We start from the raw sequence: 24,815 nt of genomic DNA, 5'->3' as shown, positions 1-24,815 counted from the left end.
TGGAGGTGTGGCGGAAATGGTTGGGGATAGAAGAGAGCGGGAGGGGGCGGTTCCCGTTCCACCGCGGAGCCGGATGTTTGCCGAGCCTTGACAGGCGTGGCAGAGGGAGCAGTGCCCGAGCGCGGTGAGCTGCTGGGCGCGGGGTCTCCCCGGGTGGGGATGGGGAAAGGAAAGGAGCTGGCCAGGTCGTCCGAAGGGATGGGGTCCGGATGGGGAGGACCGGAGCAGATCCGAGGAGGGGAACGGGGGTGGAACTGGGCTCAGAGGCCTGGCCTTCCTGCAGGGTTTCTGCCCCATTTTGGCGCCTGCAATAAGAGGACTTAATCATTTTCACTACCTTCTTCCTGCCTTCCCCAGGGCAGAGTCCAGGCCGGATCGCTGTCATCCAGCAAGCCGGCGGGAGGGGGAAATCTCCCAGATCTGATCTGGCAAAGCACTAAGAAGAAGAAATTTGGGGGAAGTGTTCCTCCTTGCCACTTATTAGGCCACGCTTTCAGTTCAACTTATTTATTTTTTTAAGACGGAGTTTCACTCTTATTGCCCAGGCTGGAGTCTCGGTTCACTGCAACCTCCGCCTCCCGGATTCAAGCGATTCTCCTGCCTCAGCCTCCTGAGTAGCTGGGATTACAGGCGTCCGCCACCACGCCCGGCTAATTTTTGTATTTTTAGTAGAGACAGGGTTTCACCATGTTGGCCAGGCTGGTCTCGAACTCCTGACCTCGTGATCCTCCCGCCCCCGCCTCCCAAAGTGCTGGGATTATAGACGTGAGCCACTGCGCCCGGCCTCAGTTCAACTTCTTAATCTGTGAAACAGGATAATTGCAAAACGTAACCTGGGCTTTGTAAACCGTGAAGCTCTATGCAAACATAATTGTAGTTGAGAGTTGTAATTGCTGTTGTATTGTGGTGGGATTTGCAACTGGGAGGCCGATTCCAACGTTGAGAATATGATTTCTTTTCTTTTTTTTTTTTTAGACGGAGTCTCACTCTGTCGCCCAGGCTGGAGTGCAGTGGCGTGATCTCGGCTCACTGCAACCTCCGCCTCCCGGGTTCAAGCGATTCTTCTGCCTCAGCCTCCCAGGTAGCTGGGAGTACAGGCGCGCGCCACCACACCCGGCTAATTTTTGTATTTTTAGTAGAGATGGGGTTTCACCATCTTGGCCAGGTTGGTCTCCAAATCCTGACCTTGTGATCCGCCCGCCTCGGCCTCCCAAAGTGCTGGGATTACAGCCGTGAACCACCGTGCCCGGCTGGTCCTCTCTTTCCTCACTGTAAAATGAGCTTAGTAGAACATGCCTCATCAGTGCTATCGTGAGGTTGAGTTTGTGTCCCCAGTTCATGGTCCTATATAGGCCCTCAACAAGTGTGGGTTCCCTTCTTTACTTAGGAGATGAATTAATTGGTTCATTCATTCAACAAATGATAGCATCTACTATATATCAGGTGTCATTCTGAATAGACCAGAAGTTCTTAAACAGTGATTCTCAGAAGGTGTATGAACCTCTTAAAATTGCATACATCTCCTAAGTTTTCTTAGGGAAAAAGTCCACACATGTTACCAATTTCAGAAAAGTCTACAACTTCCTAAAAGTGATTGCCTAAGGTGATCCTTAAGATTTTTGTAAAGGTTTACCTGCTGAGAATGGAAAAATTAATCTCAGAGTTGGGTGTATTTTGCACAGAGTAGAGCAGGCTTGTGGGTGGCTGGTGTCTTAAACAGGCAGGATACTTCATTTCTACTACTTGATGTTAGAATTTCCCTGTGCTAGCTTCCTCACCCTCCCACTGAATGGGAGTTTAACTTCCAGGCTCAGAAGTTAAACTGTGGGTTGGGGGTAGTGGGAGGGGCCAGTCTGACTGGGAGATGGGAACCACTGGGCTTAGTTATGCTGGGAAAGGAGGTTATGTGGGGGCGTTGAGGGAGGTCATGTCTGGAAGAACTGACAGCATAGAAGAGCAGTCACTGGAAAAGAGGTGAAGTTCAAGTTCAGCTCCCTTTTAGATGGTGTCCTTCTCCCTCCTTCACATCCACCCCAGCTCCCAGCTGCTCCTTTTTTTTTTTTTTTTGAAACAGAGTTTTGCTCTTTTGCCCAGGCTGGAGTGAAGTAGCTTGATCTCAGCTCACTGCAACCTCCACCCCCTGGGTTCAAGTGATTCTCCTGCCTCAGCCACCTGAGTAGCTGGGATTACAGGCACCCACCACCATGCCTGGCTATTTTTTTTTTTTGTACTTTTAGTAGAGATGGGGTTTCACCATGTTGGCAAGGCTGGTCTTGAACTCCTGACCTCTGGTGACCCACCCACCTTGGGCTCCCAAAGTGCTAGGATTACAGGCATGAGCCACCGTGCCCGGCCCCGGCTGCTCCTTCTAATCCTGTTGTTCACTGCAGCACAAAGTATTTCTGAACACTGGAGAATTATATTTCTGGGAGGCGCCATTGCCTCTACAGAGGAGGAAATTTAGGCCCAAGTAGGAAAAGGACTTGCTCAGCATCTTTGCAGCTCACTGGCTTAGGCAGGATGATAATCCAGCTCTCCATACTACCTCATCATTTCATGGCATCAGCACCTACTTTGTGCAGAAAGATGTCTCTGGGATAGCTGTAGGTGGGGCTGAAGGAGCCCCTGGTCCCTGGGCAGTGACAGGCTGAATAGAAAGGGTAGAGAGAAGGCTCTGGCCTGGAGGGGGTTGCTTTGAGCTGGATTCTGTCTTTATTACCCAGCTGGAGGTCGCTATGGGGAGCAGCTCCCACAGCCTCCTGGCTGGATGGCAGGAAGCACATGTAGATATTGAAGGGTTGAAGGGTTGAAGGGTTGAAGGCTGAAGGGGAGTGAGGGAGCTGGGCTTTGGCATCACTCAGAGAAATGCATTCCTGACCGTGAGGGATCATTCTTCTCTGTGTTCTTGGGAAGGGATTATATTTTGGTGGTAACCAGGGGTAGTGGATGAGGACAGGGGACAGGGAGAGGAAGAAGAGGGTTTTTTTGGGCTGTTTTCGCTGGTTGGCTTTGGCTTGGGAGCATGAAACAGCGTTACCACTCAATCCGTGTGGTTGCCCTGGTGATAGGGTGGCTGTTGCTAGGCACAGGGAGAGGGCTCACCATCCAGGGCCCTTGGCTGTGATGTGATGTGTGCAGGAGGTTGTCAAGTGGCCTCAGAGCCCAGAGTCTGTGGCTCTGGGATGGCAGCTCTCCCCCTCTTCTTCCTGCCCACCCCCAGGGCTTGTCTGCTCTCCTTATCTGCCCTGCTGATTCTCTGACCATATATGTCAGTTTTGGGGCTCCAGGAATGCAGCTGGACATGGAGCAGCCTCTTCCCTGGGGTTAGACTGAATAGGTTGAACTAAAAACTGCCCTCCCTCATGTGGGGAGCTTGTGGCAGGAGGGGGAGTTGCTGCCCATTAGGGCTGAGGGCAGAGGTGCCTACCCCCAGGCTGCATGCGGCTGCAGCCTTCTGGCCAGATTCCAGACCTACAGAAACCCAGCTTGGTGGTCGAGTCTGCCTTGTGCCTGCCGGAGCTGCTGTTCTGCTGGTGACCTCCTCATCTCAGCACCCCAGACATCACGAGCATCCCCCTTTCCCATCTGCGCCCTCCAATCCTTAGGGCCGTCAACCTTTCCACCTTGAAACTGGTGTCAGGAGCACCCTGCAGAGTAAGAGTGGGCTTGGACGCCCCTAGGAGCCTGCAGACTGTCTGCAATGACTGGCAGGCGATTCCACATCCCCTGCTGCTAGTTCCTGTCCTGGAGCAAGCCCAGCTGGGCCCCTCAGCCATAGCTTTTATTTTTTTATTTTTATTTTTTTGGGATGGAGTCTTGCCCTGTCGCCTAGGCTGGAAGTGCAATGGCACAATCTCGGCTCACTGCAACCTCCGCCTCCTGGGTTCAAGTGATTCTCCTGCCTCAGCTTCCTGAGTAGCTGGGATTACAGATGCCTGCCACCACGCCCAGCTAGTTTTTGTATTTTTAGTAGAGATGGGGTTTCACCATGCTGGCCAGGCTAGTCTTGAACTCCTGACCTCAGGTGATCCGCCTGCCTCGGCCTCCCAAAGTGCTGGGATTACAGGCGTGAGCCACGGTGCCCAGCATGTTCCTTAGATTCTTACAACATTTCTACCCCTGTAACTGCTAGAGCCTGGGAGGCTTCTGTGTCCAGGTCTCCTGAGGCGAGGGGCGTGGACCTCTGCCCTCTACAGCTGGGACTGCATCACTGAGCCAGCTGGGTGGCGGGCGGCACAGGACCTGGCACAGCTCTTCCCTCCCCAGCTGCAGGGCCTGGAGGGAGGCGCTGAGCTGTGCCATCCTCTGCCCCAGCTGCCTTTTCTGGCAACACGCCTGAGCCACGGAGCCAGGAGAACCCAGAGCTACGTGGAGCTCTTGGCGGGGATGAGGAGTGTTGAGGAATAGGGACAGGGAGCCTGGGAGAGGGAATGGTGGGGGCAGGAGGGCACGCGGTGGAGGTCGCAGAAGGTGAAAAGAGCAGGTCACTGACCTGCCACCTGTCTTCCTCTCTCCCAGGTTTCTCTTAAGGTTCTGCAGGGCAAGGCTGTCTGGGACAGGCTTGGCCATGGATCCGCTCTCAGAGCTGCAGGATGATCTGACCTTGGATGACACCAGCGAGGCTCTGAACCAGCTGAAGCTGGCCTCCATCGATGAGAAGAACTGGCCCTCGGATGAAATGCCTGACTTCCCCAAGTCAGGTGGGCTTGTGTCTGGTCTCAGGCAGCTACAGGCGCTTTAGAGGGGGAAGCACTCCTTCTGCTGAAGGGAGACGCCAGGAGGGCAGGATGGGGCAGACCAGTCCCAGGTTTGGGCTGGGAGCATGGGCCTTACTGGGGGAAGGGCCAGACAGCATGCCTGTGGGGCAGAGCATGGTGCCAGCCCCCTGGCTTGTCCCCTGACCCTGCTGTGTTCCTCAGATGACTCCAAAAGCAGCTCCCCGGAACTTGTCACACACCTGAAGTGGGATGACCCATACTATGACATCGCCCGGCACCAGATCGTGGAGGTGGCAGGTAAGCACACCCAACACTATTTTCCTAACCCTCAGAGCTCCTGGCCTCAGGAAGTCAGCCCTTCACACCACAGGGGAAGGGCCTCTCTGCAGTCTGACCGCTGGCCCTGGTGCTCCTGGCATGTGGGGAGCCATGTGGCCTAGTGGCTTTGAAGTCAGAAAGCCCTGGGTTTGATCTCCAGCTCTGCTCTTTGAACTCTAATTTCTTCCTTGTGGGTTACAATAATGAATGCATGTCAGGGCCTAGCCCAGAGCCAGAACACAGTTGGCCTTGAATAAGTAGCCTTCCCTTCCCCTCGTTCTATTGCCCTCCTACCCCTCCACCCTAATGTTGGCTTTTCCACCCTATCAGTTACTGGGGAGGATGAGGAGTGCCAGTCCTTCCTGGGAAATTGTAGCCCTAGGGAAGTCTGGAATGGGCAGAGCCTCTTTCCAAAAATGGGGAGGGGGCACATGGCTCCCTGGAGCACCAGATTCCTGGCAGATATGCTGCCCTGCTGAGAGTGGGTACAGAGCCCCGCTTAGGTCTCTGTCTCAGGGAGCTCCCTCCCTCCTGTTCATAAGGGGGGACCCAGAAGAAACCAGGAGCCAGGGAGTCAGGCTGATGAGGTGGTTGCTGCCCTTAGGGCCCCACTTTAGAAGGAGCAGCTGGAATCTAGGATCCTTTATCTTTTCCCTAACATTTGTCCATCCTTGCTGGTGAGGCCAGGCATTCATAAGCAGGGTGGCAGCATGGCCCTGCTCTGAGGCATTGGCGTGGGCAAGGAGAACCTGGCAGACACCGGCCCTGGAAGAAGCCTGTCTGGCTATGGGGGTGCTGGGCTTGGAAAGGGAGGGGGCAGTTGAGAGGATTGCCCCGAACGTCAAAGGTGTTTCCATGGCGTTTGTATTCTTGGCGCCTGCCCTGATCTGGGTTGAGGGCCTTGGCTCTGGCCTCATTCACCCCCTGCAGAAGCAAAGCTGAGAGTTTTTTCCCCAGTCTGGTCCTGAATTGGGCACGGGAAAGTCACCTTGAAGGTTCTGAACTTGACTGGAGTCTGGGGGGTACCTGATGTGAAGGAGTCTCTGTCCTGACATCATCCTGGCCTGTTTGGTCAAGGCAGAGCTGGGGGAGCCTGCCCCTCCCCACCTCCGTGGGTGACACCTCCTTCCCCACAACCCCCGCACAGAGCTGCAATTTGTTTCTATTTCCCTAGACTACGATGAGCCTGAGGGGGCCCAGCCAGGTAGGTGTCCGTCCTGGCTCGCTGTGCTTGTCCTCTTTGGACTGCAACCTCTGGGGCTGTGGATCAGGAAGGGCTCTCGGTGGAGGCCAGATGGGGCTAGCTTAATTGCAGTCTCACCCTGGGGAGCTGGGAGTTGGTGGTGCCTGGGAGTCGGAAATAGCAGAAGATTTATGGGAGGTAGGATGGGGGTGGGGGAGGCTGTGTGGGGACACACCCAGGCCCCAAAGGGAAAGGAGCTTGCGGGAGGGTCTGGCCTTGGGCAATGGCCTCTGAGTGGTGGCTCAGGGACCTTCTGGGTGATGGTGTCCCCATGGATGTGCCTCCCTGATTGCTGAGAGGAGGCTGGATTGGCATCACCAGGCACTCATTTGGTGAGACCGTGGAGATGTCCGGGAGAAGCCCTTGTAGGAAGGGAGGGTGGGTTATAGCCTCAGCTCTCCCTGCCGGGAATAGTTGTCATGCCCCAGGGTCAGATTTGGCTCAGTCCCAGTGGGTTCTTTCCAGTGGTGTGCTGGTAAATGGCTCTCTGGAGAGGGGGAAAAAGGCCATGATTTGTAGCATTTGCAGTTTCTGCCTCCCAGCTCTCTAGCTACCAACATGATGTCAACTGGCTTGCAAAATTCCTGACAGTTGAACAGCTTAACAAATGTGTGAGCTGGCTGTAGCACATGACTGGCTCCATCAGCCCAGCCCTACCTCCCAGGTCCCAGGCCTGCTGGTCCGGTTGTGGGTGGGGCTGGTTTGAGGGGGCCCAGAATGCCTGGGGAGACCTGTTGGTGATTAACTCCAGGGCCACCCTGGAGTTAGGACCAGCCTGGGCAACATAGTGAAACCCTGTCTCTACAAAAATAATAACAATAAATTAGCCAGGTGTGGTAGCCTGTGCCTGTAGTCCTAGCTACTTGGGAGGCTGAGGTGGGAGGATCCTTTCAGTCCAGGAGTTGGAGGCTGCAGTGAGCTATGATTGAACCACTGCACTCCAGCCTGGGTGATAGAGCAAGATCCTGGCTCAAAGAAAAAAAAAAAAGATTACAGTCTAGTGAAGTGGTTCTTAAAACTGGTCACAGTCCACTTTGCAACTATGAAAGGTATCCCCAGGATAGGGGGGATCTCTTTGACTGAAAAAAAAAAAAAGTGCAGCCAGGTGCGGTGGCTCACACCTAGTAATCCCAGCACTTTGGGAAGCCAAGGCTGGTGGATCACGAGGTCAGGAGTTCGAGACCAGCCTGATGAACACGGAGAAACCCCGTCTCTACTAAAAATACAAAATTAGCTGGGGTTAAGGCCAGGCGCGGTGGCTCATCCCTATAATCCCAGCATTTTGGGAGGCCGAGGCGGGCGGATCATGAGGTCAGGAGATCGAGACCATCCTGGCTAACACAGTGAAACCCCGTCTCTACTAAAAATACAAAAAATTTTCTGGGCGTGGTGGCGGGCGCCTGTAGTCCCAGCTACTCAGGAGCCTGAGGCAGGAGAATAGCGTGAACCCGGGAGGCGGAGCTTGCAGTGAGCGGAGATCGTGCCACTGCACTCCAGCCTGGGCAACAGAGCGAGACGCCGTCTCAAAAAAAAAAAAAAAATTAGCTGGGTGTGGTGGTGCATGCCTGTAATCCCAGCTACTCAGGAGGCTGAGGCAGGAGAATCGTTTGAACCCAGGAGGTAGAGGTTGCAGTGAGCTGAGATCACGCCACTTCACTTCAGCCTGAGCGACAGAGCGAGACTGTCTCAAAAAAAAAAAGTGCACATGCTTGTAATATTTGTCATATAACATCATGGAGGTGCTGTGTCTGCTGAGCACATTGGTGGAGCCCTGGTTCAGAACCCAAAGCTTCCCACTTACAAAGTGCTGTGGCCAGCTGAGAGGAGACACCACAGGCCTCCAGCCCTCCCCCCAACAGCTTCCCTAACCAGTTGCTACCTCTTATATTTTAGACCCAGGGGCCTCACAGACTTTCTGCCCTGGCTGAATCCTCAAATCTGCCAGCCAATGAGGCCTGCCTTGCTGCTGGTGCAGATGTGAGGTGCGGGGACTCATGGGCTGGAAGGAAAGATCCTTTTGGTAGCCCCCATTGTCCTCGAGCATTTCCCCCAAATCCTGGTTATTTCCTCGCTTAGAAGGAGGTAGGCAGATGAGGCCCCCTCTTCCCAGGCTGGTGGTAGGCATCTCTGGGGTTTCTGAAGCTCCAGACTAGTGAGACTGGGCTTGCCAGTCTAACCCTTTGTCCCTGGCCCCTGCCAGTCTGCTTTTCCTTCCACTGTCAGAGCCAGTGGGAAGTGAATCAGAGCAGGCACATAGCCCCAGAGCCACCCCCAGCTGGCCTCCGGGATCTCAGCACCTCAGGATCTAGGCTAGGGTACGAAAGAGAGCAGGTACCACCTGGTCCTTCAAAACAGACCTGCCGGGATGGAGCTGCACCTCCTCTGCAGACAAGCTGGTAGAGGATTCTCTACTTGCAAATCTGGAGACGTTCTGTCCTGAGCTTTGGGAAACTCACTATCTGAAGCAGTCTGACCCATAACCAAAGCATAATCAAGAACAAACACAGAGGCCAGGTGCTGTGGCTCATGCCTATAATCCCAATACTTTGGGAGGCTGAGGCGTGCAGATCATCTGAGGTCAGGAGTTGGAGACCAGCCTGGCTAACATGGTGAAACCCTGTCTCTACTAAAATACAAAAATTAAGGCTGGGCATGGTGGCTCACACCTGTAATCATAGCATTTTGGGAGGCTGAGGCGAGCAGATCACCTGAGGTCGGGAGTTTGAGACCAGCCTGACAAACATGGTGAAACCCCGTCTCTACTAAAAATACAAAAATTAGCTGGGTGTGGTGGGACATGCCTGTAGTCCTAGCTACTCAGGATGCTGGGGCAGGAGAATCACTTGAACCCGGGACGCAAAGGTTGCAGTGAGCCGAGATCGCGCCATTGCACTCCAGCCTGGGTAACGAGCAAAACTCCATCTCAAAAAAAAAAAAAAAAAAATTAGCCTGGTGTGCTGGCACCTGCCTGTAGTCCCTGCTACTTGGGAGGCTGAGGCAGGAGAATCTCTTGAACTTAGGAGGTGGTGGTTGCAGTGAGCCCAGATCACTCCACAGCACTCCAGCCTGGATGATAGAGACTCCATCTCAGAAAAAAAAGAAGAACAAACACAGAAATATAACTAGAACCAGGCATCCCATAGTTTAATGGTGACCTGCGATTTTGTGCAGGCTACCAAAACGTATTGAATACCTGCCACATGCCAGACACTGGACCAGTACTGGAGACTGTAGGTGCCATGGTACGCAACTGTAATCCCAGCTACTGGAAAGCTGAGGCAGGAGTTCAAGACTAGCCTGGGCAACATAACAAGATTCTGTCTCAAAAAATTGTTTTTAATTAAGCAGGTGGGATGGCATGTGCCTGTAGTCCTAGCTACTCAGGACATGGGAGGCTAAAGCAGGAGGATTGTTTGAGCCCAGGAGTTCAAGGCTGCAGTGAGCTACAGTTATGCCACTGCACTTCAGCCTGGGTGACAGAGCAAGACCCTGTCTCTTAAAAAAAAAAAAATCACAGCTTGCCAGGAGTAAACAAAGAAAAAGAACAAACAAAGACAATGAGACACAGCCTCTGTCTTTGAGCTGCTCACAAGCCTGTCAGGGAGACAGGTACATAAACAATTCTACAGGAGAGTGAAGGGTCAGGACAGTGATGGGTGACGGTTTATGCTGGGAGCCATGAAAAGGGGCAGCTAACCTGTCTGGGGAGAGAGGGCGAGGACACAGGATTCCAGGCGGCGATTATGCCTGCATTGAGTCTTAAGGGTTGGTGGGGGCCCTAGAATATCTTAATGAGAAAGGATAGAATGCTTAGAAACCTACAGAAGTCAATCAGAACCAGTGTCGTCCATAATTCTAGTAATAAGCTGGGTGCAGTGGTGCACACCTGTAGTCTCAGCTGCTTGGGAAGCTGAGGTGAGAGGATCACCTAAAGCCAGGAGTTCAAGAACAGCCTGGGCAACACATTGAGACCCCCATCTCTTTTCTTTAATTTTGTCTTTTTTTTTTTGAGACGGAGTCTCGCTTTATCACCCAGGCTGGAGTGCAGTGGGGCGATCTCGGCTCACTGCAAGCTCCGTCTCCTGGGTTCATGCCATTCTCCTGCCTCAGCCTCCCGAGTAGCTGGGACTACAGGTGCCCGCCACCACACCTGGCTAATTTTTTTTTTTGTGTGTGTGTTTTTAGTAAAGACGGGGTTTCACCATGTTAGCCAGGATGGTCTCGATCTCCTGACCTCATGATCCGCCCACCTCGGCCTCCCAAAGTGTTGGGACTACAGGCGTGAGCCACTGTGCCTGGCCGAGACCCCCATCTCTTAAAAAAAATTCTAGTAATAAAATCAGAAAGCGATTGTCAGTGGTCAGAAATGAGACATGACTGTTAAGTAATCAGACTGATTTCCTCAGTGGCTGAAACATGCTGAGAAGGTAACTTCAAGAGGCTTTCCAAATACACACTGCTCAGCGGGGGTGCTTTTGGAAAAGTGTAGACTTATAAGATGACTATTTGGCAAGATCACAAATGCTTTAGTGAGCATTTTTTAAAAATTGAGGTAAGAGCCGGGCGTGGTGGCTCATGCCTGTAATCCCAGCGCTTTGGGAGGCCAAGGCAGGTGGATCGTGACGTCAGGAGTTCGAGACCAGCTTGGCCAACATGGTGAAACTCTGTCTCTACTAAAAATACAAATATTAGCCAGGCATGGTGGCAGGCGCCTGTAATCCCAGCTACTCGGGAAGCTGAGGCAGGAGAATCGCTTGAACCTGGGAGGTGGAGGTTGCAGTGAGACAAGACTGTGCCACTGCACTCTAGCCTGGGTGACAGAGTGAGACTCCATCTAAAAAAAAATAATAGTAATAATAATTTGAGATAAGAATCACATAACAAAATTCATCAGTTTGCAGTGTACAATTCAGTGGTATAATATTTAGTGCATAATGTCATAAAATTATCACCTCCATCTAATCCCAAAACATTTTCACCACCCATACCCATACCAAATGCTGTACCCACTAAGCAGTCTGTCCCCATTCCCCACTCCTCCCAGTACCTGGAAACCACTAATTTGCTTCCTGTCTCTATGCATGTACCTATCTAGACATCTCATGTAACTGGAATCATAGACTTGGTGGCCTTTTGTGACTGGCTTTCACTTGGCATAATGTTTCGGAGGTTCATCCACATTGTAGCATGTATCAGTACTTCATTCCTTTTTATGGCCAAACAGTATTCCATTGCATGGATTAACTACATCTTTTATCCGCTGATGGACATTTGGGTTGTCTGCACCAGGCATAACTTTTTTTTTTTTTTTTTTGAGACACTCTTGCTCTGTCACCCAGGCTGGAGTACAGTGGCACCAGCTCAGCTCACTGCAACCTCCGCCTCCCAGGTTCAAGCAATTTTCCTGCCTCAGCCTCCCCAGTAGCTGGGACTATAGGTGTGCACCACCACACCCAGCTAATTTTTGTATTTTTGGTAGAGATGGGTTTTCACCATGTTGGCCAGGCTGGTCTCGTAACTCCTGACCTCAGGTGATCCCCCTGGTTCAGCCTCCCAAAGTATTGGGATTACAGGCGTGAGCCACCGCGCCCGGCCGGCATGACTTTTTAAAAAGTGATGTTGGCTGGGTGCGGTGGCTCACATCTGTAATCCCAGCACTTTGGGAGGCTGAGGCAGGAGGAGGCCAGGAGCTCAAGACCCAGCCATGGCAAGATAGTGAGATCTGTCTCTACAAAAAATTTTAAAATTTCACCAGGTATGGTGGTGCTCACCTATAGTCCTGGCTACTTGGGAGGCTGAAGCAGGAGGATCTCTTGAGCCCAGGAGATTGGGGCTACAGTGAGCCGTGATTGCGCCACTACATTCCAGACTGGGTGAAAGAACAAGACCCCATCTCAAAGAAAAAAAAATCACTTTTTTTTTAATACCCCAGCTCAGTAGCCCTGAAAGCAAGCTGTCCCTGTCTTCAGTGGCACACCCTTGCATGCAGGAGGCTGCCCGGAGGTCTGTCTGCATGGGCACTCTGGCCCCTGTGGTAACTGGCTCAGATCAGCAGGCCTGGCCCCTTTAAGTTCCTCACCCCACTTCTTTTGGTTCCCCTTCAACCCACTGTGCTCCATCTTTCTCCACACCTAGGAGATGACAAGTATGGGCGGAAGATCATTGTGTTTAGTGCCTGTCGAATGCCCCCCAGCCACCAGCTCGACCACAGCAAGCTCCTGGGGTGAGTACCTGCTGGGAAGTGTGTTGGGGCTTTGCCCAGATCCCCATTGTAGCCTAATGCCACGTTCTTTACTGTCCCTCCCTGCCTGTGGGTGCTAGGCCACCTGCCTTAATGCCTTCCCTCTTCTCATGAAGGAGCTGGTTTATATTTAGGGGAGAGCACTGGACGAGGAGTCAGACCTAGTTTCTAGTTATTGAAGCTGGGTGACCTTGGTAAGCATCTTTAAGCCTCGCTTTCCTCACCTTTCAAAAGGGATAATAATATAGGCCTCTTTCCTTGTAGGAGTGACAAACAGCACATGAAAAGGAAGGACTTTTGTCCAGATGTGATGATTGACTGTTATAATCCTATGGTGTTTCTGAGATGGTTGCAGTTGTTTATCGTTTATAGGACTCATTAGTGTTGTCTTATTTTGTGCCTTTGGTGTCAGTGGTTTCTATACCGATGTGGGTTCTGGGGCCAAACATATGTAATAGCTCTGGCCGGTCCAGACATGTCCTGATTCATGTCTGAAGGCTGGTTGAATGCCAAGGCTTGAAAGACTCATTTATGGTTGAGCCAGCTCTGGGCCCACAGGCGAGCAAACTCACTTCCTGCTGCTGTCCTCGGGGTGTGTAGTAGAGTGAGACCATCTTGCCCTTCTTTCTGTTTTCTCGGCAAATTTTAGAAAGATGCAGTTCTTTCCTGACCAGTTTGAAGCACTCTCTGAAATGTAAAATCCTGGCACTGTCCCAAGCAGCTCTTTGAGACCCTGAATGGTTGCGTGCGAGCAGGAGGAGGTGTGGGCTTAGGGACAGACCCAGAGGGCAGCCGCAGAAGGAGAAGGGCCTGAATTTGGAGTCTCAGCCAGTCCTGGCAAGCCAGGGCCACAGGCTGAGTCTTCCAGCGTCATCTAGGAATTCTATCTCTCTGGCCTTCTGAACCCTCTTCCCACTGCTCTTCAGACAAGGCAGGCAGAGCCTTGTCCAAGCCCGCCGCACGGCCCAGCCAGAATGGGCAAGAGCTTGGCCTGGGGCTGGTGGAGGCACATGGCCTTTTCTCTAGTTCTTTCTATGTCTGATGTACCAGGTGACAGCCTCCTGCCCAGATAATAAGTGAAGTGGGAGGAAGTCAGTGGATGTGGGTGGAAAGCACCTGGTTTTCAGGAGACAGCTTGCCAGGGAAGGCCACACCCACCCCAGGGCGTCCTTGGCTTCAGGAAGTCCTCAACATCAGCTGCTGCTTGTCCTCCATCACTTCCGTCCTAGTCACAGTCCCTGCTGAGGGCAGTGGGGTGCTTCCATCATGGAGCACTTTGTCCCATTTTCAGTCAGATTATCTCAGATGTGGCTCTTCCCAGCTGTCCACCCAGATCCAGGAGGTTGAAATAGAAAGTGCCTGAGCGCCACTGCACTCTAGCCTGGGCGACAGAGCGAGACTCCGTCTCAAAAAAAAAAAAAGAAAGTGCCTGAAGTGGCTGGACGCGGTGGCTCACGCCTGTAATCCTAGCACTTTGGGAGGTCGAGGCGGGAGGATCATGAGGTCAGGAGATCGAGACCATCCTGGCTAACATGGTGAAACCCCGTCTCTACTAAAAATACAAAAAAAAGATTAGCCAGGCGTGGTGGCGGGCGCCTGTAGTCCCAGCTACTCAGGAGGCTGAGGCAGAATGGCGTGAACCCGGGAGGCAGAGCTTGCAGTGAGCCAAGATTGAACCACTGCACTCCAGCCTGGGCGACAGAGCGAGACTCCGTCTCAAAAAAAAGAACGTGCCTGAAGCTTGGAATCAAATTCAGAAGACACATTCAACTTCAGCTCTGCACCTCTTGCTAGCTGCGTGCCTTGGGGCAGGTCTTTTCCAAGCCCTGTAAAAATGAGACTTGTGGCTGGGCGCCACAAGTCTCTTGTGGCTCCTCGTCCAGCGGCTCATGCCTGTAATCCCAGCACTTTGGGAGGCCAAGGTGGGTGGATCACGAGATCAGCAGTTCGAGACCAGCCTGACCAACATGACCCTGTCTCTACTAAAAATAAAAAAATTAGCCAGGCTTGGTGGTGCATGCCTATAATCCTAGCTACTCAAGATAATCCCAGCTACTCAAGAGGCTGAGGCAGAAGAATTACTTGAACCCGGGAGGCAGAGATTTCAGTGAGCCCAGATCATGCCATTTCACTGCAGCCTGGGTGACAGAGCGAAACTCCATCTCAAAAAAAAAAAAAAAAGTCCGGGTACGGTGGCTCATGCCTGTAATCCCAGCACTTTGGGAGGCTGAGGCAGGTGGATCATGAGGTCAGGAGATTGAGACCATCCTGGCCAACATGGTGAAACCTCATCTCTACTAAAATAAAAATTAGCTGGGCATGATGGCATGTGCCTGTAGTCCCAGCTACTCAGGAGGCTGAGGCAAGAGAATTGCTTGAACCCGGGAGGTAGAGGTTGCAGTCAGCCGAGATTGCGCCACTGCACTCCAGCCTGGGCAACAGAGCAAGACTCTGTCTCAAAAAAAAAAAAAAAAAAAAGAGACTTGTGCCCACCTCCCAGGGCTGTTGTGGGCATTAGGTAAGAACATATGACCTGGCGCGGTGGCTCACGCCTGTAATCTCAGCACTTTGGGAGGCGAAGGTGGGTGGATCACGAGGTCAGGAGTTCAACACCAGCCTGACCAACATGGCAAAACCCTGTCTCTACTAAAAATACAAAATTAGCCATGTGTAGTGGCATGCGCCTGTAATCCCAGCTACTTAGGAGGCTGAGGCTGGAGAATCACCTGAACCCAGGAGGCGGAGGTTGCAGTGTGCCAAGATCATGCCATTGCACTCCACCCTGGGCAACAAGAGTGAAACTCTGTCTCAAAAAAAAAAAAAAAGAATATACATGAAATCCATTGTGTACATTTTTAAAGTATTACAATTTAGAGAGTTTAGAAAAATATACATAGCCATAAATAAAAAAATATATAGACAACTGTGAAAAAAAAAAGGTCTCCCACACACCCACCACCTAGAGAGAAAGTTACTGTTAATATTTTTGTGTAGTCATTTCCTATTTTTTCTGTAATGTATATGGAACTCTATAGTCAGTTTGGTATCTTTTTTTTTTTTTTTTTTTGAGACCGAGCCTCGCTCTGTCACCCAGGCTGGAGTGCAGTGGCACGATGTTGGCTCACTGCAACCTCCACCTCCTGAGTTCAAGCGATTCCCCTGCCTCAGCCTCCCGAGTAGCTGGGATTACAGGCGTGCACCACCACACTCAGCTAATTTTTGTATTTTTAGTAGAGAGAGGGTTTCATCATGTTGGCCAGGCTGGTCTTGAACTCCTGACCTCTGGTGATCTGCCCGTCTCTGCCTCCCAAATTGCTGGGATTACAGGCGTGAGGCACCACACCCAGCCTGGTTTTGTATCTTACATAACATTTTTTTCTGAGCATTAAATATTCTTCAAAGATATCTTCTAAAAAACATTTTATTGACATCAAATATGCTGACAGAAAAGTGAATAAAATATAAGCGTACTGTGTGAATTTTCAAAAACTGAACACATCTATGTCACTCACACCCTACAAAGGGCATAAACACTGTTCTGACATCTGACTTCACAGATTCATTCTGTCTGCAGAAATGTCCTGTGAGCTATTCTATTTATGGTTGTCACGTGGTTGATTTAACCAATTCCCTGCTGTTGCAGTTAGCTTGCCACTAGATTTTTTTTTTCCCTATCATAAAATGGGCCATGAAGAACAGCCTTCTACAAAAATGTTTTCGTTCATCTCAGATTATTTCCTTAGGACAAACTCCTAGACATATTTTTACAGGGTCAGAGAGTATGAGCATTTTATAGCTTCTGATAAACATCACTTTATTTCCCTACAAAAGGCCATAACCTCCATCAGTGGATGAGAGTGTCTGTTTTCACTACAATCTTTGCTATTTTTGTAGTTGCAAAATGCAATCTCTTTATGCGACAGCTCTTTGTAAACTGCAGTGCTCAGTGTGGAGAAGGGGTAAATGACCATGTACTGGGGATCCCAGCATCAGCCACCCCATGCCTGCCTGTGCTGGCCCAGCCTGGCACCCACGGGCCAGTCTTGAGCATACTCTGTCTGGGTTAGGTCAAGCTCTGGCCACTTCACCAGGCTTCTCTCCTTCCCTGCCTCCCCTTGGAAGTGCTTAGCATTCTGCCTGCCCAGCCTCCCAGCCTGCAGTAGTGTCCCTGTGGGAGCCTAGGAGCTGTTTGGCCAACTAGAAAGAGGGCTCTATGGCCGGGCGCAGTGGCTCATGCCTGTAATCCCAGCACTTTGGGAGGCCGAGGCAGGCGGATCACCTGAGGTTGGGAGTTGGAGACCAGCCTGACGAACATGGAGAAACCCCATCTCTACTGAAAATACAAAATTAGCTGGGCGTGGTGGCACATGCCTATAATCCCAGCTACTTGGGAGGCTGAGTCAGGAGAATCACTTGAATCTGGGAGGCAGAGGTTTTGGTGAGCCGAGATCATGCCACTGCACTCCAGCCTGGGCAACAAGAGCAAAACTCCATCTCAAAAAAAAAAAAAAGGAGAGGGCTTTACACACACTCCCTTCCCTTTCCCCAGTTCTTGTTCATTCCATCCATAACTCTCAGTGTGCTCAACACCAGGTGTGTATATGTTTGTGCTGAGCTGGTAGATAGCGTGTCATGAGCATAATAGGGAACCAGAGGAATTGGGGCTCTTTGGTCCACTAAAGGCCCAGTGACTGGAGCAGGTGACTCTCTGGCCACCCCATCCCCTCTCATGGGCACAGTGTTTTACCGCCGGCACTGGAGTTCATGTGTAGAAGGCAAAGCTGTCCCATGGTCAAGAATGCAGGCTTTCGGCCAGGTGCAGTGACTCATGCCTGTAATCTCCCAGCACTTTGGGAGGCTGAGGTGGGAGGATTGCTTGAGGCCAGGAACTCAAGACCAGCCTGGGCAACATAGTGAGACCTGTCTCTACAAAATAAAAAGTAGAAAAAAGAGCCGGGTGTGGTGGCTCACACCTGCGGTTCCTACTACTCAGGAGGCTGAGGCAGGAGGATAGCTTAAGCCTGGGAGGTCAAGGCTGCGGTGAGCTGTGATTGCGCTACGGTGCCCCAGCCTGGGTGACAGTAAGACCCTGTCTCAAAAAAAAAAAAAAAAAAAAAGCAGGCTTTGGTGTTAGACACTTCACTTCCAGGATCTACCACAAGCTGTGTGACCTTGGATCAGCACTTGACCTCTCTGGTCATTGCCTTCATTTGTAGGATGGGGATTACATCAGCCTCAGTTATAAGCAATGTATGAGCTAATGTATGTGAAGTGCTTGGCAGACACTAAAAACTTAATATTGAGAAATGGTGACTGTCATCATTATTATTGATTCAGAGAAATCCCTGATTCAGGGGAAACGTCATTCCCCTTTTCACTGCAGGCCTAGGCAGGCCCGGGTTAGGGTCCTGGTCTCCTGACATCTAGTTCCTGCTCAAGAGTGAGAACTGTTATTATTATTACTATTATTGAGACAGAGTTTCACTCTTGTTGCCCAGGCTGGAGTACAGTGCCACAATCTCTGCTCACTGAAACCTCCGCCTCCTGGGTTCAAGCGATTCTCCTGCCTCAGCCTCCTGAGTAGCTGGGATTACAGGCCTGCACCACCATGCTCGGCTAATTTTTGCATTTTTAGTAGAGATGGGGTTTCACCATGTTGGCCAGGCTGGTCTTGAACTCCTGACCTCAGGTGATCCACCCGCCTTGGCCTCCCAAAGTGTTGGGATTACAGGCATGAGCCACTGCGCCCGGCTGAGAGCTGTTATTACTATTCTCATTCCTCTGCCCAGCCTCTACCCTAGGCCTCCTCCACAGCAACCTGGTGACTGATTATGAGCCAGAACAGACTGTGCTAGGGGAGGGCCTGTGGGGAAGGGGCTGTGACGTGGTGGGAGACTCTTGGGGCTGCTTTCTGTCTTCGTGGGGCCGCCCCTGTGCACAGGGCAGGCCTGAGCAGGGCTTTTCCCTGGAAGGTACCTGAAGCACACCCTGGACCAGTACGTGGAGAGTGACTACACACTTCTGTATCTGCACCACGGCCTGACCAGCGACAACAAGCCCTCCCTCAGCTGGCTCCGTGATGCCTACCGGGAGTTTGACCGCAAGTGGGTTGGGGCATGGGGCCTGCACAGTCAGATCCAGAGGCAGCGGCTCTGCCAGCTTCCGGGCTGCCCTCCACTTGGGCAGGAGCTTATTCCAAGGCAGGGGGTGGCGGGGGCTGCCGTCTACGTCAATGTAAAGAATCTGCAGTCAGATCACCCTGGGCTTAAGTAAGGCCCAGTTTCTCAGCTTATTTGCACTCTGACCTCTTGTTTTACTTAACCTCTTTGAGCCTCCTGTTTTCTAATCTGTAAAATGAGACAGTGATGGCCCTTACCTCGCATGCTGGCCATGCATGTTCAAATCAGAAAATATGCACTGAGGCAGGGTGTGGTGGCTCACACCTGTAATCCCAGCACTTTGGGAAGCTGAGGCGGATGGATCACTTGAGGTCAGGAGTTCCAGACCAGCCTGGCCAACATGGTGAAACCCTGTCTCCGCTAAAAATACAAAAATTAGCTAGGTGTGGTGGTGGGTGCCTGTAATCCTAGTTACTCAGGAGGCTGAGGCAGGAGAATAGCTTGAATCCGGGAGGTGGAGGCTGCAATGAGCTGAGATCACACTCCAGCCTGGGTGAAGGAGACTCTGTCTCAAAAAAAAAAAGTATGCACTGGGACCCTAGCGTGGCACCTGTCCCACCACGCCTGCTCCTGAGTTGTCCATTCTGTCTCTGCAGGTACAAGAAAAACATCAAGGCCTTGTACATCGTGCATCCAACCATGTTCATCAAAACTCTGCTCATCCTCTTCAAGCCCCTCATCAGGTGAGTGGCCACGGGCAGGGCTGGTGGTCCCGGCTTGCCTGGAACTCTGAAGCTGGGAGGCTGGGCAGCCTGGGGACCACCAGGTGCGGCTGGGCTTCCGTCTGAACTGGGTGGGTGTTGAGGGGAGAGTGGAGGCCACCGGAAGCGGGCCCCCACAACCCAGGCCCTTTCTTCCACCAACAGCTTCAAGTTCGGGCAGAAGATCTTCTATGTGAATTACCTGAGCGAGCTGAGCGAGCACGTGAAGCTGGAGCAGCTGGGGATCCCTCGCCAAGTGCTCAAGTGAGGCGGGTGCGGCGGCTGGGGGCTCGTGAAGCCAGGGTAATGAGGACGTGTGTCCTGATTCAGAGACCGCGTGGGGCTTAGGCAGAGCAAGCCCGTGTCCCGACCTCTCCCAGGTCTTTGCTTTCTGCTGTGGAAAGCGGAGTTGTTACAGAGATCGCATGAGATGATCCTCCTGACCCCGCGTGGTCAATGCTTGATTGAATTGGCAGAGTGACTCCAGAGCCAGGCAGGACCTGACCCACCTCCCTCTACTCCTACAGATATGACGACTTCCTGAAATCCACACAGAAGAGCCCCGCGACAGCCCCCAAGCCCATGCCCCCACGGCCCCCCCTGCCCAACCAGCAGTTTGGAGTCTCGCTGCAGCAGTAAGTATGAAAGGTGGCTGGGCCACGGCGGGGCGGGAAGGGCTGCAGGCCCGGCTCACCAGCCTTTTTCCCGCAGCCTCCAGGAGAAGAATCCAGAGCAGGAGCCCATTCCCATTGTACTCAGGGAGACTGTTGCCTACTTACAGGCCCACGGTGAGTGCCGGGCCTGCCTCCTCACCAGCCAGGTCTCCCGGCTCCCTTCAGGAAGCTGGGGAAGCTGCTGGGCAGGGCAGAGGGAGGTCCTGCAAGCCTCAACGTCCCCACCCAGCCCTGCCTAGAACCCCAAGACAGAGAAGGGGCAGGGAATCCAGCCGGTGCCCAGCGCTCGGAGGCTCACCAGGCCCTACTGTTTCCCAGCTCTCACCACCGAGGGCATCTTCCGGAGGTCGGCCAACACCCAAGTGGTCCGGGAAGTGCAGCAGAAGTACAACATGGGTGAGCAGCCCTGGGCTGTTGCAGGGCCATATGTGTGTTACTGGTAGGGGGCTTCTCTGCCCTCTGCTGCCCTGTAAATGAGAGTCTCAGAGTCTCTTCCTGCTGGAGGTTTCCGTGGCTCTGGGTGTCACATAAGTCCTACTTCTGCCAGGCCTGCTGCCTCATCGGTCGGGCTCCCGGGTCCTGGGTATAGGCACATTCAGAGGCAAGGAATAACGGTGGGGTGTGCCGGGCCCCACTTCCCCAGATGGCCGGAACCTGCATTCTCTGATCACAGAGGAAGAGGGAGGCAGGTGTCAGAGGGCGCCCCTGGGAGGAGGGGCTTATGCAGTGTCCAGGGGCAGTCAGGCAGTGCGGCCCGCGTTGTCTGCAGATGGGTGCTGCCCTTCAGGCTGTGCCGAGCTTCTCTCACGCTGCCCCCACCCCAGGGCTGCCTGTGGATTTCGACCAGTACAATGAGCTGCACCTGCCAGCAGTCATCCTCAAGACCTTCCTCCGGGAGCTTCCTGAGCCCCTGCTCACCTTTGACCTCTACCCCCATGTGGTGGGCTTCCTCAGTGAGTCCCCATCTCTTCTGTTGGGCCTGGGGCTGGACTTGGGGCAGGTGCGCTGCAGGCTTTCGGGCCTAGGCGCCTCCCAGGGAAGACTGCTGGGGGTCTCCCCTCTAGCCTGCATCAGAGCGTCCTGAACCAGCCCAGCCTAGGGCCCCTATAACCCGGGCCTCCTTTCCTCATAGACATTGATGAAAGCCAGAGGGTGCCAGCGACACTGCAGGTCCTCCAGACGCTGCCCGAGGAGAACTACCAGGTGCTTCGTTTCCTGACTGCTTTCCTGGTGCAGGTGAGACCTTGGACTTGGCCTCTGGGGTGAAGGGAGGGGGAAGGAGGAGCTGCCGCCTCCTCTGCGCCCTGGTCATTGTTGCTGGGAGTGGGAGGCAGCATCTGTGGCTTCCTGCTGCAGTCCCTGATTCCCTCCACAGATTTCTGCACACAGTGACCAGAACAAGATGACCAACACTAACCTGGCTGTTGTTTTCGGCCCTAACCTGCTGTGGGCCAAGGATGCGGCCATCACCCTCAAGGCCATTAATCCCATCAACACCTTCACCAAGTTCCTTCTGGATCACCAAGGGGAGCTGTTCCCAAGCCCGGACCCCAGCGGGCTCTGAACCTGGCCCCTGCCCCACCAGCCCCTTCTCTGGTAGCCCGGGTTTGGACTCTTCCTCCTGGCATCAGGGGCCATGAAGCCCCCTGGAGAGAGATGTTGGAGCCACCCATCAGGCATGCTCTCCCCCACCTCTGTCCAGCCCGCCTCACGGCCCTGGCGGCCTCGCTGTTACCAGAAGACGTTTTTCTCTGCCTTACACTTCTCACTGCCTCTCTGGACACCGGGCTTTTGCTGGGCTCTCCAGAGCTGGGCTTGGCTCTTCCAGCTGGAGAAGGACTGAGCCCCAGTAACCCCTTTCCTGCTTTTTCCTGCCTCTGTTTCCCTAGCAAGTGTGGATGAATCAAATGACTGCCGGCTGGGCTGGTAGCAGGGGCCAGTCCTCCCCTCTTGATTGCTGGGAATGAGCAGCTGAGCTCTTTGGTGTGGACACCGCCCCAAGCTGAGGTGCCTCCCTATCTGGTAGGCTGCCCTGCTTTGCAGAAGCCCCACTGCATGAAGGCCTGAGTGCAAGCACCCTTGCTCCTGTACTGCCCCCAGCAGCGCAGTCTGGGGTATTTCCCCTGCTGAGGAGTGACAGGGCTGGAGACTGTGTCTGCTTTCTGCCTCCTCTTCCACACATCCTGGGTCAGCCTTTCCCAAGTGATACTGCCCCTGGGGTGTCCTAACCCCTTGGTTGTGCAGGGACTGGTAGCTTGGATGACATGGCTCAGAGTCCCAGCATCCACTTGAAACCTCCCTCTCCACCTCCCCGCCCCCGAGAGCTACAGCGTGTGATGGAATCAGTGACCGGCCAGGTTAGCCTCTCCCCTCTTGGCCTCCTTTCCCACACGGGCAGATCATCAGCCTTCATGTTCTTGTGGACCTGTCTGTTACGGAGTCACACTGGCCCCTGCCCCAGCCAGAGGTGACTCAGTGCCTCAGGATCTTATGGCTCCTTCCTCCAGCTGGGGGACTCTTAAAGGGGCTGGGGTAGAGACTAAGAGTGCCCGTAGGAGGGGCAGAGATTGTGCTGATAGGTCAGTCCAGATAGGTGGGTTCTAGCAATTTCCCCAGGGGATTAAGGGGCTCTAGGGCCACCTTTTTTTTTTTTTTTCTGAGATGGAGTCTCGCTCTGTCACCAGGCTGGAGTGCAGTGGCGCGATCTCGGCACACCTCCGCCTTCTGGGTTCAAGCAATTCTCCTGCCTCAGCCTCCTGAGTAGCTGGGACTATAGGTGCATGCCACCATGCCCAGCTAATTTTTGTATTTTTAGTAGAGACGGGGTTTCACCATGTTGGCCAGGATGGTCTCGATCTCCTGACCTCATGATCCACCCACCTCGGCCTCCCAAAGTGCTGGGATTCCAGGCGTGAGCCACTGCACCCGGCCAGCCCTGTTGTCTTTCAAAGAACCTCGGCCCCAGTGATGGCTGATCTCACTCCCACTGTCTCGTAGAATTACACTCCTTCCTGGGGATCCCTCTTCCTGCAGCCTTGTCCTTGGGGAGTACAGGGAAGTACCTGCAGTGACCCTGCCCCCATGACCTTGGCCAGGCAGGATGATTCCAGAGCCCGTACTGTGGGGATCCTCACTGACCAGCCCAGCCCCATCCGCAAGCCAGGCTGGGCCTGGGCATAACTTCGCTGGGCTCTCCCAAGACCATCAGCAGTGCATCCAGCCCCCTGGGGCCTGGGCTGCTGCTGGTTCTTCATCAGTCCCTTGGTCTCTAGCCTCGGCCAGGGCTGCTCTGCTCTCCGCCCTCCTTTGTGTATCAAGTGTCGCTCACAGCCCCATTCACTGGGGAGCCTTTCGGATCTATTTGGTCTTTCTCATGTCCCCCACTGGTCTGTACCCCAGGGAGCGGGTGCTTGTACTGTGTGAATCCAGTGTTCACATTCACACTTAATGACTTCCTTGGCACCAATCATGTATTTCACCGTTTGCACTTTTTGTATTTCAATAAAAATGTTGATGCAAAACTGCTCATCTGGATGTTGGGGAAATGAGTTGGGTGTGGAAGTTGGAAACTGGATGGGAAGTGTGGTGCGGTGGAGGAAGAGGAACAGATGGGGCCTCAGGAAGTCCCCTCCCCAGTCCGTCTGCCGCTTCCTCATCTTGTGCACTCGAGTGGTGATGAGGGCAGCTTCCTGACCAGCTTCTAGGCATGGAGGTGTCCACGGCCACCTTCCCGTTGTTTGTACCCCCAGCATTCCAGCAGGCCACCATGTGCTGCATCCTATGACCAGGGCCTCTCCTGTTTCCCAACTGGAAGGTACCGGAAGTTTGAAGGGATCTTAGATTTATCTAAGGCAAGCAGGGGGAAGAAAAGTGGTGTGGACTGTGATGGACAATGGTGTGGGATCTGGAGTCACACGAGAGTTTGAGTCCTCGTTCCCTCACGTGCCAGCTCTCACCGCTAACAGTCATCATCACTGGCTCACCACCCCTGTGGCTGCTGCTTCATCAGAAGACGGTTCCTTTGAGGATCAGAAATAATGCAGACACCCCAGGCACGTGGCTCACACCTGTAATCCCACCACTTTGGGAGGCAGAGACAGGAGGATTGCTTGAGCCCAGGAGTTCGAGACCAGCCTGGACATAGTTAGATCTCACATAGTAAGATCCTGTCTACCAAAAATAAAATAAAAAAAAATATTAGCCGAGCATGATGGCACATGCCTGTGGTTCCAGCTACTGAGGCGGCTGAGGTGGGAGGATTGCTTGAGCCCTGGAGGTCAAGGTTGCAGTGAGCCGTGACTGCACCACTGCACTCCAGCCTGGGTGACAGAACAAGACCCCACCTCAAAAAAAAAAAAAAAAAAATGTAGACCGTATCTAACACCGCGAGTGTGCAGTGGTCATGGGTGAATGGTGTGATAGCCCCAGCCTCATGCAACAGCAGCTGGGAGAGGGTCCCTCAGCCCGAGTCCTCCCTTCCTGCCCACCCCTCAGCCTGAGGCCAGGCCATTTCCACCTGCCAGGCCCACACGGAGGCTGTGACAGATCCAGTTCTCCTATCCTCTCTTAAGCAAGTTTTGCTTTGCTTTAAAAGTTAAGATGATTATTTACCGCATTTTTTTTTGACAGGTTTGTTGGTGAGAAGGTAGGCCAGAATTTCACCTCCCATAGTGGTCAGGTTCCAGGTGTCTGCTGCTTGCTTGCTAATGGCAATCAGGAGGCTATAGCGGCCCCAGTTGGG

General features: G+C 53.1%; 1 protein-coding gene across 3 annotated transcripts, besides 2 other annotated features; it reads left to right on the top strand.

Annotated features, from left to right (window-relative positions):
• Nucleotides 56–23,595, top strand: ARHGAP1 (Rho GTPase activating protein 1). 3 transcript variants are annotated; one of them, XM_047426933.1, is made up of 13 exons: nt 56–124; nt 4,560–4,700; nt 4,920–5,015; nt 12,415–12,502; nt 18,493–18,624; nt 19,296–19,382; nt 19,566–19,664; nt 19,928–20,035; nt 20,112–20,188; nt 20,393–20,470; nt 20,899–21,027; nt 21,207–21,310; nt 21,450–23,595. In XM_047426933.1, the coding sequence occupies exons 2-13, from the start codon at nt 4,568–4,570 to the stop codon at nt 21,636–21,638; spliced, it is 1,320 nt and encodes a 439-aa protein (XP_047282889.1). In that variant the 5' UTR covers nt 56–124; nt 4,560–4,567; the 3' UTR covers nt 21,639–23,595. The 3 variants fall into 3 exon arrangements, with proteins under 3 accessions (XP_047282889.1, NP_004299.1, XP_024304288.1); NM_004308.5 differs by having other exon boundaries at nt 4,519–4,700; XM_024448520.2 differs by lacking the exon at nt 18,493–18,624 and having other exon boundaries at nt 4,519–4,700.
• Nucleotides 181–300: a silencer, noted in NCBI's record as "silent region_3314". NCBI's record gives its function as "represses an Ori minimal core promoter by ATAC-STARR-seq in GM12878 lymphoblastoid cells {active_cell/tissue: GM12878}" and the evidence as "EXISTENCE:reporter gene assay evidence [ECO:0000049][PMID:35858748]".
• Nucleotides 5,769–6,268: an enhancer, noted in NCBI's record as "H3K4me1 hESC enhancer chr11:46715957-46716456 (GRCh37/hg19 assembly coordinates)". NCBI's record gives its function as "activates a minimal SCP1, AML or CMV promoter by ChIP-STARR-seq in naive H9 embryonic stem cells {active_cell/tissue: H9 hESC(naive)}" and the evidence as "EXISTENCE:reporter gene assay evidence [ECO:0000049][PMID:30033119]".

The sequence above is a fragment of the Homo sapiens genome, chromosome 11 (genome assembly GCF_000001405.40).
Source record: "Homo sapiens chromosome 11, GRCh38.p14 Primary Assembly".
NCBI classification, from domain to species: Eukaryota; Metazoa; Chordata; class Mammalia; order Primates; family Hominidae; genus Homo; species Homo sapiens.
The sequence above is the reverse complement of the archived record's forward strand: the minus strand, read 5'-3'. Positions and strand labels throughout refer to the sequence as shown.

What these genes read in the sequence shown, in the direction of transcription:
- ARHGAP1 (XM_047426933.1), top strand. Translation starts at nt 4,568, where the DNA reads ATGGATCCGCTCTCAGAGCTGCAGGATGATCTGACCTTGGATGACACC. An exon ending in TTTGGAGTCTCGCTGCAGCA is followed by an intron (nt 20,036 to 20,111) that starts GTAAGTATGAAA and finishes TTTTTCCCGCAG; the next exon opens with CCTCCAGGAGAAGAATCCAG. An exon ending in TGCCTACTTACAGGCCCACG is followed by an intron (nt 20,189 to 20,392) that starts GTGAGTGCCGGG and finishes ACTGTTTCCCAG; the next exon opens with CTCTCACCACCGAGGGCATC.